The sequence below is a fragment of the Homo sapiens genome, chromosome 2, assembly GCF_000001405.40.
Source record: "Homo sapiens chromosome 2, GRCh38.p14 Primary Assembly".
NCBI lineage: Eukaryota > Metazoa > Chordata > Mammalia > Primates > Hominidae > Homo > Homo sapiens.
Window position 1 is genome coordinate 230715274 of NC_000002.12, and position 15204 is coordinate 230730477.

General features: G+C 41.2%; 1 protein-coding gene and 1 pseudogene across 5 annotated transcripts in view, besides 1 other annotated feature; one reads left to right on the plus strand and one right to left on the minus strand.

Moving 5' to 3' along the window:
* The window catches only part of CAB39 (calcium binding protein 39), a 108234-nt gene that overhangs the window by 2432 nt on the left and 90598 nt on the right, over positions 1–15204 (plus strand). The gene's annotated exons all lie outside the window — the stretch shown is intronic.
* Positions 5891–6414: an enhancer, noted in NCBI's record as "NANOG-H3K27ac-H3K4me1 hESC enhancer chr2:231585879-231586402 (GRCh37/hg19 assembly coordinates)". NCBI's record gives its function as "activates a minimal SCP1, AML or CMV promoter by ChIP-STARR-seq in primed H9 embryonic stem cells {active_cell/tissue: H9 hESC(primed)}" and the evidence as "EXISTENCE:reporter gene assay evidence [ECO:0000049][PMID:30033119]".
* BANF1P3 (BANF1 pseudogene 3) lies at positions 9496–10206 on the minus strand (annotated as a pseudogene).

Genomic DNA, 15204 nt, shown 5'->3' on the forward strand with positions numbered 1-15204 from the left:
AGGCTTAATAACTACTAGTGTGGACAGAACTTTTTCTGAAAGTTTCTTGTTTGAAGTATGTTTCTTTCTCTGTAAGACTTGGATCCTCTTGCTTGTTGAATAAAGTTTTTCTTGGCAGGATGTGTGTTGTCATGAGGTGTGGAAGAGGAAGAAAGCACACAGATCTCTGCTATAGGAGTGAATGGACTTTTAAAGGGATGTTGTCAAAAGATTACTGTCATGGCTGGTATACCATCCCCCACAGACGGCGATGCAGTGTCCCTTCCCACTCCCCACTTCGCTCCTGAAAAATAGTCTCTACACTAGGGCCATCCATATAGGTTAACTATTTTTTGAACATGACATCACGAAGACTCAGGCTGGATATAAGCATAGAATATTTCATGAAATGGTTTGCTACTATAACAAATGGGTGGTATTTGCCTTTTTGGTTTTGTTTTGTTTTTTGAGACAGGTTCTCACTCGGTCGCTCAGGCCGGAGTGCAGTGGTGCGAACATGGCTCACTGCAACCTCAACCTCCTGGGCTCAAGCCATCCTCTCACCTCAGCCTCCTGTAGACGGGACCACAGGCTCGTACCATCACATCCGGCTAATTTTTGTATTTTTATAGAGACAGGGTCTTGCCATGTTTCCCAGGCTGGTCTTGAACTGCTGGGCTCAAGTAATCTCGCCTTGTCCTCCCAAAGTGCAGGGATTACAGGCGTGAGCCACCACGCTTGCCTGGATATCTGTTTTTTTATTTCAAGGCAGCTTACTTCCCTTCATTAGCATTTTCTACTTCAGGTTCTTGTACTAAGTCAGTTTTTTCCCATGTATTTTACATTCTAAGGTGTATTAATAAGATCTCTGTTTCTGTTTCATCACGTATGAAGTAAGATGCTGAGTAAGGCTGTATACGTTTCCTAAAGTTAATGTAGAAGAACTGCTAAGAAAGTCCAGTATAAGTATGGGGTTTGGTAACTTGATTTTATTTGAATGTTTGTATATTGCAAATACGTATGCCACACAGGGTCTTTATTACCTTGGAATATTTACTAAAGTTTTCTGTTTTGATCAACTTTTGTGGGATTACAGATTTCTTTAGTTATTGCCATACTTTCCCAAGAGCCTTTTTTCCAGATTGATGACTAATCACTCACAGTTTAGCCATCTGCCATGAAAATACACAAATCCAACCTCCCCAACCCCCAAAAATAAAATTCAGTAGTAGGACGAATTTTGTTTCAGGTATTGTCTTTTGTTTACCTTTCTGGCATTGTTTCTATTCCAGCTCTATTTTATTTTTTAATTTAAAAAATGTTTTAATTAAAAGAGATGGTGTCTCATTCTGTTGCCCAGGCTGGTCTTGAACTCCTGGGCTTATGCCATCCTCCTGCCCCAGCCTCCCAAAGCACTGGGATTATAGGCCTGACCACACTGGCCTCCAGCCCTATTTTAAAAGGTCAGGCCGAGCGGGGTAGCTCACTCCTATAATCCCAGTGCTTTGGGAGGCCAAGGTGGGAGGATTGCTTGAGCCCAAGAGTTGGAGGCCGATCTGAGCAACATAGCAAGACCCTATATCCACAAAAATAAAAAATTAGCCGGGCATGGTGGTGTGTGTGCCTGTTGTCCTAGCTACTCAAGAGGCTGAGGCAGGAGGGATTGCCTGAGCCCAGGAATTTGCAGCCTCAGTGAATTTTGATCACTGCATTGCAGCCTGAGGTGACAGAGTGATACCCCATCTCAAAAAATGTATATATAAAATAAAAATAATAAAAATAAAAATTCATTTTCCTCTTTTTCATTGCTTCTTTTAATTGGGCATTTGATTTTATGAACGTCTTTACATGTTACAGAAATGGGACTGTGGAAGGTGGATTAATTTGGATAACAGAAAAACTGGTAAACATTTTTTTTTACACACTTTGATAAAATTGTGGGGAAAAAATATCAAATCTGAATCTCTGGGTTAAATTACTTGTGACTTGTTATTACTGAGGTGTAAAGATCTGGCATTATTATGAAGTCAGGTAATCTAAATTTGCATAGCAATTTAGTCATCAGTATCTTTTGGCCATTGTAAGAAGACTTGTATTAGAGCCTTCTTTAATTACAGAAGGAATTGAGCTGTGTGAGAGTTCGTACGTTCTGTGCCCTTAGTGACTTTCCGACCGGATCCCAACCACTACTTTTTAAAAAATTCTCCTGCAAGGGTGTCTTGCAGTGAGAAAGAGAGACTGGACTCAACTCCCCTCATCTCTACAGTCCGGAATATGGGGGCAGAGCAAAGTGAAGCAAATACTTCTGCCGTCACCATTTGTAGAGTAGAACAGTCTGTGAATAAAATGATCAGTGTTCTGCCTCTGTTTCTCAGGCCCTCCGAGGATTATGAGAAGAGTTACTACAGGCCTAGGTGGCAGATCATAGACTGGTGGTGATGAAATCAGGTTAACAGCTAGTTGCCATCTGCATTTTTGGGGGGTGTTGTGCCATTTCTGTCTCACTGAGCTTCCCAGTCCCACTGTGCTTTTAACTTTTAAAACAGAAGGGGTGAGGGGACAGCAGAATTGTGGTTTATAGCAGCTGTGATGTTAAGCCTGCAGAGGAAGGCAGGATGGCATGCAGAGAATTGCGGGAGGTCATTCGGGTGTGAAGTGGCTCCAAAGGAGGGAGGTAAATCCTGCCTTGGCCCTTCATGTTGACCATATCCAGTGCATACCTATTTGTATGATCTTTAATAGCTTTTGTCTTGGTACTCAGAATATAGTGTTTAAGTTATAGATTGTGTTTGCTTGTTTATGTGTGTATTCATATGCATGTTTCAAAGATGGGGAAAATCTAGCCATTATTTAGTGGCAGTTTGTTTTTATATGGTAATTATTCTTTGGGAGCATTATCCAGCAAAAATTGTTGAGGACCACGGAAGTATGATACTGTTAAAAGATCACACACTTTATTTGGTAATACATTTGAGAAACAAAACATACATTGTGTATCTTGATCTTAATTAAGTTCCTACTTTGTGATCTTGTCTCATGAACTGTAACTTGCTCTTTACAGTGTACTGACTATTAACATGCTAGTCACTGTTGTCTCCCTCCACAGTAGATTATATATCAGCTGTATTGAGGCACTAGGAAGAAATACTTGGACAGGTTTCTGTTTACATGTCTGTAGTTAAGGCCCGCTTTTAGGTTTATAGAATTTGGAGAGGTAGTGTTAGCCAGTGGTTAAAAGCGCAGGTGCAGCCAGACTGCCTAGATTTTGAACCCTCATTCCTCTGCTGTGGGCTCTATAACCTTAAGTTCCTTCTGTCTAGCTTGAATTCCTTGGATGGTAATAGTAGACCATATCTGAGAGGGTTGTAGGACGATTAAATGAGTTGCTACATCTGATGTGCTGCCGTGTATCAGATGCCTAGACATAAGTTTTGTGATGCTCATGATAGGCTTTTCCAGGGGGGAGAAACTTTAGAACTTCAGAAACAACCTAGGCAGAATGGTTCTTTCTGCAGGTGGGAACACTGAGGCCCACCGTAACTAGAGCAGAGTTTGGTTCACTTTGAGCAGTAACAGGTGTAGCTTTCTGCAAAGTGAAGTCTCTTTTCTAGGGTTTTATGGCTTATTAGCCACAGGACTGAATCTGGAGCCTGGTTTTCTTCATTCTTTGTCCAGTTTACTTGAATTAAGTATCATACTTTATGCAGTAATGTCTTCTTTTGGACCTTTTCACTAACATTTACAAAGGTTGTATTCAAAATATATTAAATGTTCTTTGTCATATAATTCTTTTTTAAGGTTTAATATACTAATATTCATAATATTTGTGATGTAGCTGGCAAGTGATTTGGGAGGCGTGTATGAAGTTAGAAGTCGAAATAGACAAAGAATCAAGGAAAATTAACAAAAATTAGTTAGCTTGGGGGAACAAATTACCGTTTAGGTCCACTAAATGTTGGGCAAACCTCTTAGGTAGTATTGTCCCCAACATCATTGATGGGAAACCAAAGTGGAGGGTTTGTCCAGGATAACACAAACATTGCACAGTTGAGCCAGAATTTGAACTCAGGTCTGCCTCACTTCAAAATATGTGCTCCCTGAAATAGGGTATGACTCCCTCATGAAATAATTTTATTTTCCTTGCTGAGCAGTTTTGAATTAGTATTTTAGAATGGAGGTTTATAAATAGATCCGAATTTGGATTTTAATAGGTTTCCAAGCAGTAACCACATTACAATCTAAAAGAGATGGTTTATTATAAATGCTTTCGTTGTATAGTCATAATTTGATTAGTGGCTTATAGTTTAGTTAGGCCAGTAGATAGTATTTAATTTCTACATTATTCTTGTAGAGAAGATGGGAGGCCTGTGTTACAGTGGGAAACACAGAAGCCTGGGAATCGAAAGATCTGGGCTGGGTCCTGACTCCATGGCTAATTATGTTGTCACTCTGTACAAGTAACTCCATCTCTCTGGGCTTCAGTCATCCCATTATTATACCAAGGGCCCCAGATTGAAAACCCCTTAAATTCTCTTACCCTTATTTTCAGTGATTTGTATGTAGGCTTCTGACTTGCCTTTTTCTCCTGCACTGGTTCCCTCCCCTTTTGCTGGTGGTCTTGCAGTCTGAGTACTTTATGGCATGTGACTGTGCTTTAACCTTTTTTCTCCCAGTTGGTCAGATGGTAGTGTTATTTCACAGTACTGAAGTTCTCTGCTTAGGGTAATGAGAATAACATCAAAATGTGTATTTTCAAATGTTCTACCTTTGTGCTTATGAATAAATAGTTAAGAACTAAATGTTTTATGGTTGTAAAGTACAAGCTTAGTAAGTCAGTCTATTTATTAACAAGTCCTCAAGCCTCACATCAGTTTCGTTGTCACAATTGTGTTGTAAAGTTGGGCGAGTTGTGTGTTTTAGGGGAAGGAAAAACATTAACAAAAGGCAATGAGAGTGGGAAAGAAAGAACCAAAAATGTAGAATTAAATTTGGGAATGTAAAGAACATGCTTTGGCTGTGGTTGGTATTAATCCCCTACCTATGTAAAGGTGGCATCCTGGCTTAGATCACAGGGTTCTTTGCAGCTCGGGATTCTATCACTGGTAAGAGATAAGGGTGATATTCACCACCCATTAGCATTCATACATCCTCAAATGTCTATTATTAATTTGGTCCACAAGTTGTTTGTTTGTTTGTTTCCCAGGATGGAGTCTCCCTCTGTCGCCCAGGCTGGAGTGCAATGGCGTGATCTCGGCTCACTGCAACCTCCGCCTCCCGGGTTCAAGCGATTCTCCTACCTCAGCTTCCCGAGTAGCTGGGATTACAGGTGCGCGCCACCATGCATGGCTAATTTTAGACGGGGTTTCACCATGTTGGCCAGGCTGGTCTTGAACTCCTGACCTTGTGATCCGCCCACCTCGGCCTCCCAAAGTGCTGGGGTTACAGGCGTGAGCCACCGCGCCAGGCTTAAGCAGTTTTTAATGCCCCTTATGCTAGGTACTAAAGGCCAGGCCTCAAGGAGCTCAGTAAACAAGTTTTTTCCTGCTTTGATGGCATATCATCAGCCAGCCAGTTCATTTACTTTTAGATTCTATAGCAGGGAGACAGAAACTCAGGCCGTTAACATGACCCATGTAGATACTCTTTTGGCTCCCATCTCTCTAGTTACAGTATGGTTTCATCGCTGTTCAGCATTGGTGAGTTATAAGTTTTTCCTATGTATGTAAGTTTCGTGTCTCTAGATTGTAATTTATTTGGATAGAGGATTTTTGTTTCTTACCTTTTAAAATTTATCTTCCCTCCCCTCTTCCCCACCTCATGTTTTCAGAGTATAATAATACGTTCTTTCTATAAATATTAAATGATACAGCTGTGTGGTAGTATAAGAAAACTTTTGCAGCCAGCATGGTGGCTCGTGCCTGTAATCCCAGCACTTTGGGAGACCAAGGTGGGCAGATCACTTAAGGTCAGGAGTTCAAGACCTGCCTGGCCAACGTGGCGAAACCATGTCTCTACTAAAAATACAAAAATTAGCTGGGCATGGTGTCAGGTGCCTGTAATCCCAGCTACTTAGAAGGCTGAGGCAGGAGAATCGCTTGAGCCCTGGGGGTGGAGGTTGCAGTGAGCCAAGATAGTGCCACTGCGCTCCAGCCTGGGCAACAGAGGGAAACTCCATCTCAAAAGAAAAAAGAAAAAGCAAACTTGCTTAACAGAGATGAAATACTTAACCAAAATACAATTTTTTCTGTTTATCTTTTTATCTCAGCTATATTTGTGCTTATTTGAAAGTGATTTACATACCATGATAATTGAAGGTTATGAGGATCCCCTTTTCGCAGATAAGTTCCACGTAAAGCCGTGTTTCCCAAATTGTGTTTTGTAGACTGCCAGTCTTAGAGAGATTAGTTGTTTGTAGGAGAGGTTCCAGGGTGAGATTTCAACTTGGGAAAACACTGGGTTAAACATAGTTAAACAGAGTTTTATTTTTGATGGTGATTGTGTTACTGTTTTTCTGCAGAGCTTGTCAGAGTTTTTAGTAGTGTGTATTGGCAAATTGAGAAATACTGCACATTATATTTCCTTCCTTCAAGTTTATTTGGTCAAAAGAACACACCCTCCCCCCCAGGAAATACCCACAAACATCTTGAAGAAAGGTTCTACTGGAACACAGGTTAGGAAACCCTCTTATTTGCATACTTACTAGTATGGCATTCAAAGCATTTACTTACTAATTCGGATGATAATTTTTTGTCAGTTGGAATTCAACTAAGATTGTAGTGGCTTTCACCAAGCCTTTTTTTTTTTTTTTAATTTCAGCCTGCAGTGAGAAATTATATTTTTGACCAGTGACCCAACACATACACACACTCTCAAAACTGAAAAAGAAATTTCATGAAACAGTACTTAGGTCTTACTACATAGAATGCATTCTAATACTTTCTATTTTATTTCTTAATGCTTTTTATGAACTACTAAAATCAGCATGCAATTTGAGAGACACTACAAGGTTACATGAATTTATAAACTTAGTTAGAGTGAGAATATACCATACAAACTTTCATTTTTCTATTTAAAAAATATTTTTTGTAGAGACGGGGTCTCACTATATTGCCCAGGCTGGCCTCAAACTCCTGGGCTCAAGCGATCCTCCTGCCTCAGCATCCCAGAATGCTGGGATTACAGGCTTGAGCCACCTTGCCCAGCTCCAAACTGTTTTATAAGTGAGAAAACTAAAGCTCAGTGTAGAGATGAGATGGGAGGGACTCTGGCCATAAATTCTGGATTTAAACCTTGGTTGTGTGTTGTTGGGCAGGGTGTTTAATGCCTCTTTTTCCTCAGCTTTCTCATTTGTAACATAGCAATAATAGAACCTATACATAAAGTAGTTGTGAGGATTCAGTAAGAATGCCATGCATAGCGTGTCTGATAGTGTGCTGTAAGTGTCCAATACATTTTAGCTTTTATGATGGCTGAAGTCTCAAATTCTTTCTGCTGTACTATACGTACTTTGAAAAATATTTTAAGACTTTAGAAGTGTTTAAGCAACCTCCAAGTAAAGCTAGACTCTTGATCTCTAGTTGGATGTATCATTTGTTGTGATCTCAGCCCTCTGAAATAGTAAGTTTTAAAAATAGCGAAAAGGAGCCACTTAAAGTTGTTTTGTCTCAGTTGCAAATTGACTCTCGGTTGCCGAGCTTTATGCTATATTATTATATAGTTTTAAAACTATTCCTTTTTAACTTTCTTAATTTTCAATTTTGTTAAAAGAATGAATACTTTAGCAGCTTTTCAAGCCTTTTTTAAAAATCTTTATAAGCATGTAATTAAATACAAATATGTTCATACCTGTAACCTATTAATTTAGCTTTCTTGTAGTTTTAATTCATTAAAATAAAAAAATAAAAGTTACTGTTTCCTGTTTTATCCACGTTTCTGCAGGTTTGGTGAGTTTGCCCATCCTCAATATTTTATATTGCCATTGGGGGTTTAATTTTGTGTCCTGACCTAAGAAAAGGGACATTTACAGGGGATTTACGATAGTGGGAGCCTGATTTCCCATTATCTTTTTTTTTTTCTTTCTGGTTTAAACACTTCATTTTAATTTCTCTGCTGTGGGCTTCCTGAACCCACCCCACTTAAATGTTAAGGTTGAACCTCCCCCAAACACAGGAAGACAAGCAAGTCTCTGATTCAACATTCTTGCCACATCAGAGAAATCTTGCTGCCCCTTCTGCAGTAGGTGTGTCTTCATCTCTACGTTCCTGGAGTGTGTTGCCTTTGAGCTGATCCTCCAGTTGTCTCACCTCCCAGACCCTTTTGCTCCTTTTAGTGCCCCACACTGTCCTTGAAGGACCATGCTGTCACCATGGCACCCAGAACCCCCTGCCTACTGGTTGGGCTTTGGTTGGGTTTAGCCAATGGAAGCCCTGGGCAGAAGATTAGAGAGGGTAGGAGGAGAAAGAACTCAGCGTATGTCTTGCCCTGCCCTCTCCATGCCCTGGTGCATTGTTTGGCCAAGGGTTCCCATTATCTCAAACATAGCTGGCTACTTCATATATTAATGTCACTACTGAGGCAATTTGAGGTGTTTCTCAGTTTGTTTCTTTTATTCCCCAGTTTGTCTTCAGTGTGACCTGAAGTTGCTGAAATAAGAGGTTCCAATCAGCGTCACCGCCACATACCAATTCAGTATGCAAATAGCATAAAGAGGGTCTGGCGTGGTGGCTCGCACCTGTAATTCCAACACTTTGGGAGGCTGAGGTTGGTGGATCCCTTGAGGCCTTTAGGAGTTTGAGACCAGCCTGGGCAACATGGTGAAACCCTGTCTCTGCTAAAAATACAAAAATTAGCTGAGTGTGGTGACGCACACCTGTAATCCTAGCTACTTGGGAGGCTGAGGCATAAGAATTGCTTGAACCCGGGAGGTGGAGGTTGCAGCGCGCCGAGATTGCGCCACTGCACTCCAGCCTGGGTGACAGACCAAGACTGTCTCAAAAAAAAAAAAAAAGAAGATAGCATAAAGGCATAAAGATTCTGTACTTGTGTGAACAGGAGGCATGTGGTAAAAAGTAAATAATTGCTAACATAGCACAGGTATGTTTTAGCACAGGTATGTTAGCTGCTGATACATTGTTTAAGACCTCTATGGGCCGGGCACGGTGGCTCGCCCCTGTAATCCCAGCACTTTGGGAGGCCGAGGTGGGCGGATCACCTGAGGTCAGGAGTTCGAGACCAGCCTGACCAACATGGAGAAATCCCGCCTCCACTAAAAATACAAAATTAGCCGGGCATGGTGGCACATGCCTATAATCCCAGCTACTTGGGAGGCTGAGGCAGGAGAATCACTTGAACCCTGGAGGCGGAGGTTGCGGTGAGCCAAGATCGCGCCATTGCACTCCAGCCTGGGCAACAAAGAGTGAAACTCCATCTAAAAAAAACACACACGCTCACCAAAAAAAAAAAAAAAAAAACCTCTATGAGTAGTTTACCTCGTTTAATCTTTTTTTTTTTTTTTTTTGAAAGCCACTGACTTTATTGATCTAAAAAACTTTACAAGGACAGTGACTGTTGTGCCAAAAAAGGAGCCAAATGGTATCAAACGGATTGAAAGTGAGGGTGGGGGTGAGGGATGGGGCCGGGAATCCATTCAGGAAAGCTGGTAACTGTCACCAGGGAACTGGCAAGGGAAAAAGGACGGGGGAGGCATGCAAGAGCGAGAATCCAAAAAAAAGTTGAAATGGTTAGGGGAGAAAACTCCCAAAAGACCCCGGAGTACGTCGGAGGTGAGTACAACAATAGCAATCTTTTCCTTCGTAGAGGACAGGGGAGGAGTCCCTACTCGGCTGCAAACTCTGGTTGAGGGCTGGGGATTGAGAGCTTCCCAGAGAGCATCACAAGAAGGCGTCGCACCACTCTCGAAGGCAGTCCCGGGACTGCTTGGCGCTGGCGCCACAAGTGTCTTTCAGCCATTCCCGGTAGAGGTCTTCATCTTTCTTTAGCACCAGAAACTGGCCAAGGACAACGTAGGCCTTGTCAAAGCCCCTTTCCTCCAGCTTCTTGCCCAGGACTTCACCAATCCCAGCCAGGCTCCCCACTGGCTTCTCCCCCATGGGCTCTGCCACGAAGTCTCGGTGCTTTTGGGAGGTTGTCATCTTGATCAGGCTTAATCCGCAACTTCAGTTCCCGTAACGGTTCCTCCCGCCACCCGGCCACTCCTGCGGATACCTCCCGTTTAATCTTTTAACAGCCCTTTTTAATATCAAATTTTGTCCTCATATTTTTAGGTAAGTAATGGGGAAAACCAAGCAAATTGTGTAATTGGCCCGAAGTTATACATGTAGAAAGGGGTCCTAGATTTGAAACCCAGGTCACAGAGCTTGAACTTGCAACCTACCATGCTGCCTCTACCACATGATACTGGAATGTAGAATCATCCTGGAACATAGGACATTTCTGATACAGAAACAGATGAGGTCAAGTCTCCTGGTCAGGATGTTTGATGTCTCAGGACACAAAGAACTTTCATTTCTCTTTACTGAGTTGCTGTCAGTGATCTTTGAGGAGCTGTGATGAAATGGAGCCATGCAAGAAAATTAGGAAAGTTAAAAGTACAGTTTTTCCATAAAAGGAAAAGATGGAATCTACAAATCATCAGACTGCACTTGATGTTGATTGCCAGAATACCTAGCTAAGTGTTGATTTCTAGAAGCTACATCCATTTATTTATTAACTATTTCCTTTTTTAGTAGGATTCTATTAAATGTCTGAGATAAGGATGGGGCAGGATAGGATTGCTGAAAGAATGCATAGTTCTTCCATATTTGAGATTATCTGAAAATATTAAATTGCACAATTTAAATTGGAATATTTTCTAGGACTTGAAAGTCATTTTGATGTTTTTGCTTTTTAATTTAATTAATTTTTTTTTTTAGACGGAGTCTCTCTCTGTTACCTAGGCTGGAGTGCAGTGGCATGATCTCGGCTCACTGCAACCTCTGCCTCCTGGATTCAAGCAATTCTCGTGCCTTAGCCTCCTGAGTAGCTGGGATTACAGGTGCATGCTACCATGCCCGGCTAATTTTTTGTATTTTTTTTTTTCCAGTAGAGATGGGGTTTCGCTGTGTTGGCCAGGCTGGTCTTGAACTCCTGGCCTCAAGTGAGCTGCCCACTTCGGACTCCCAAAGTGCTGGGATTACAGGCATGAGCCACTGCACCTGGTCTCATTTTGATGTTTTTATAGGATCCTTTTACTTGTGTTCATTATAGTTATCTAATATGCTTTGGCACATAAGTCACATATGGCACATTAGTCACAGGTACAGTGGCCTGCATCCCTGTGCCTTAACCTTCCCATGTAGGCAGGAAGGAACTAGGAACTGTTAGCATCTTCCTGTATGTAAACAGCAAAGTGTAAATACCTTCTGTTTTTATATTGTTAAAATCATCCATTTCTGTTCTTTAAGATTGTTGCTAACCTATTCATTTACTCAAAGGCTAGTCTTGGTCTTGTTCACATAGTGATTGGAAACTGAGTTGATGGAAAGAGGGCAACCCTTCCCTACAGAAGCTGAAAGGGAGGGGCGGGGAATGTTTTTTCTTTTTTAATCTTATGGAAGCTCCCGGACTTTTTAAATATAGTGAAAGGAAGACAGGAATCAGGGTGCTTAGCATACGAGATTGTATGCTGATGCCCTTTGGTGTTTGAAAAGGTCAAAAGACTGTCTTTTATGGAGGCTTTTGTTATCATTGAGAAGAGGAAGGAATAATAAGAAATACGGAGAGGGAAGAGGAACAAGACATAGGAGTATATCCAGAAGAAAGTGACCAAGTAACTGTAGACACTGGGTCTAAATTTGTGTGTCATGCACAACTTTGGAAGAGCTAATCATGAAGGTGGAACTGATTGCTTTTCAGAATTGTCTTAAGAAGTAGAACACTTGAATAGATTGTTAACCATATTTAATAATATATGTAAATATTTAAATATATATAAATTGGAAGCGGGTACCCTTATGGAAGCTAAAAGGGAGGGGCGGGGGATATTTTAAATGTGTGTAAATATTTAAATAAGTATGTATTTAAGAAGTAGAGCACTTGAATAGATTGTTAACCGTGTGTGTGTGTGTGTGTGTGTGTGTGTGTGTGTGTATTTTTTTTTCTTTTTCTTTTTTTTTTTTTTTTGAGACAGGGTCTTGCTCTATCACCCACGCTGGAGTGCGGTGGCGCAGTCTTGGCTCACTGTAGCCTCAACCTTCTGGGCTTGAGTGATCCTCCCTCCTCAGCTTCCTGAGTGGCTGGGACTACAGGTGTGCACCACCATACCCAGCTAATTTTTTTGTATTTTTTGTAGAGATGGGGTTTTGCTATGTTGCCTAGGCTGGTCCAGAACTGGGCTCCAGTGATCCATTTGCCTTGGCCTCCCTAAAGTGTTGCGATTACAGGTGTAAGCCTCTGTGCCTGGCCTTAACTCATGGAATATATTAAATATATATTAAAGGCCATGCCCTCGCAACCAGCTAGGGGAAGGAGTGCTCCAGACCCAGTTAGCATAGAAATTATATACTCTTATATAAATGATATACCTAACATAAATACCCATATATAAATTATATGTTCTCTTTAAAAGTTTCAAAAAACATAAACTAGATTTATTCTAGATCCTAGAATACCAAAAGATACCAAATTCATGTTACAAAACTAGCCCAGGCCAGGTGTGGTGGCTCACGCCTGGAATCCCAGCACTTTGGGAGGCCGAGGCAGGAAGATCACCTGAGGTCAGGAGTTCAAGACCAGCCTGGTCAACATGGTGAAACCCAGTCTCTACTAAAAATACAAAAATTAGCTGGGTGTGGTGGCGCACGCCTGTAGTCCCAGCTACTCGGCGGCTGAGACAGGAGAATTGCTTGAACCTGGGAAGTGGAGGTTGCAGTGAGCTGAAATCACACCACTGCACTCCAGCATGGGCGATAGAGTGAGACTCCGTCTCAAAAATAAATAAATAAATAAATAAATAAAAACTAGCCTAAACTCTTAAAAACCTAATAAAATACAAAATATAAGAACAGCAACCTGGTAAGACATTACAAAGGATGAAAACTATATTCCAAATTTATCTTTTTTTTTTTTCCTGCTCACTGCAACTCTTCCACCCAAGTTCAAGTGATTCTCCAGCCTCAGCCTCCCAAGTAGCTGGGATTACAGGGGTGAGCCACCATGCCCAGCTAATTTTTGTAGAAATCGTGTTTTGCCATGTTGTCCAGGCTGGTCTTGAACGCCTGAGCTCAGAGCAATCCACCTGCCTCAGCTTCCCAAAGTGCTGGGATTATAGGCATGAGCCGTCGCACCCTGCCCCAATTTATCTTTTATATGTTTTTTTGAGACAGGGTCTTGCTTTATCACCCATTCTGGAGTGCAGTGGCGCAATCATAGTTTACTGTAGCCCCGAACCCCTAGGCTTAAGCAATCCTCCTGCCTTGGCCTCCTGAGTAGCTAGGGCTACAGGCATGTGCCACCACACCCAGCTATAATTTTTTAAATTTTTTGTGGAGACGGGATCTCATTTTGTTTCCTAGATTGGTCTCGAACTCCTGGGCTCAAGCAGTCCTCCTGCCTTGTCCTCCCAAAATGCTGGAATTACAGGCATGAAGCATTGCACCCGGCCCCAGATGCACATACAGAAGCCAAGAACATTCTAAGTAAAACACCAGCAAAACTAATTAAATATGAAATTGTCAAAGAAGACAAAACCTGGTATTTACTGTGTGCCAAGTAAGTGTTTTAAGCACTTACATTATCTCAATTAATCCCCTCAGCCTGAAGAAAGAGATTATGCTTATTTTACACATTATGAAATATAGGCCAAAAGGTTAAATAGTCTGCCCAAAGATTAGTTGCAAATTAGCCACAGAGCCTGGTTTTGAACCCTTGGGCGGTTTGCACCAGCTAGTATTTAACCTCTGGCTATATCATCCCAATATGTGCCAAGATAGCAGTGTTAAACAGTTCTTCTTGTTTTATGAACACTTGAAATCAGAAAACAAAACAAAGATGCCCAGTAACACTGATGTTTGATAATGTCTTGGCCAGTGCAAGAATACATCAAATAAAAGACTTAACTATTGGAAACTGGTGGAATATAGCAGTATTTGCAGACAGTCACAATTTTAAACCTGGGAAAACCAAGAGAATCAAATCAAGAGTTAAAAATAAGAGTTTAGTGCCCGGCGTGGTGGCTCACGCCTGGAATCCCCAGCACTTTGGGAGGCTGAGGTGGGTGGATCACCTGAGGTCAGGAGTTCAAACCAGCCTGGCCAACATGGTGAAACCCCATCCCTACTAAAAATACAAAAAAATCAGCTGGGCGTGGTGGCATGTGCCTGTAATCCCAGCTACTCAGGAGGCTGAGGCAGGAGAACAGCTTGAACCCGGGAGGTGGAGGTTGCAGTTAGCCAAGATCTCCAGCTTGGACAACAAGAATGAAACTGTCTTAAGGAAAAAAAAAAAAAAAGTTTAGTAAGATGGTTTTATACCACATAAAGATATTTAATAATTGGTAGCACTTGGCTATGAAAAATCTTGAGCGAAAACCTCATTCATTATAGCAATAAAAAATGAAATGCCCAGGGTGAGGAAATCTATAAATATTTGAGATTTTTACAAAGAAAACTATAAATTTAAGTGAAAAAAGACTTAAGAACAAATGAGAAAATTTTTCCAGGTTGAATCAGTGTAGTATTGGCCAGAGAATACTGTCAGATATTTTAAAAAGTTGACTTATGGAACACAGTAAAAGATACATATGAGCCTGCTACATAAGCAACATCACACATTAGTGGAGAAAAAGGATTATTTAGAAAAAAATTTTTTCTTATAATTTTAGACAGAATCTTGCCCTGTCACCCAGGCTAGAGTTCAGCGGCACGATCATGGTTCACTTCAGCCTCGACCTCCTAGGCTCAAGTGATCTTTCACCTCAGCCTCTCGAGTAGCTGGGACTGCAGGTGCACACCACCACACCGAGTTAATTTTTGTAGTTTTTGCAGGGTTTCACCATGTTGCCCAGGCTAGAGCAAAATATTTTTAAATGATTGGTTATTCTTTGGGAAAATGAATTGTGATAATTAAGCTACCCTTTATATGAAAATATATCTGTTGGGAGAATGACTAAAAACTATACATTAGAAGAAAACTTTTCTTTTTTTTTTTTTTTTGAGACCAAGTCTCGCT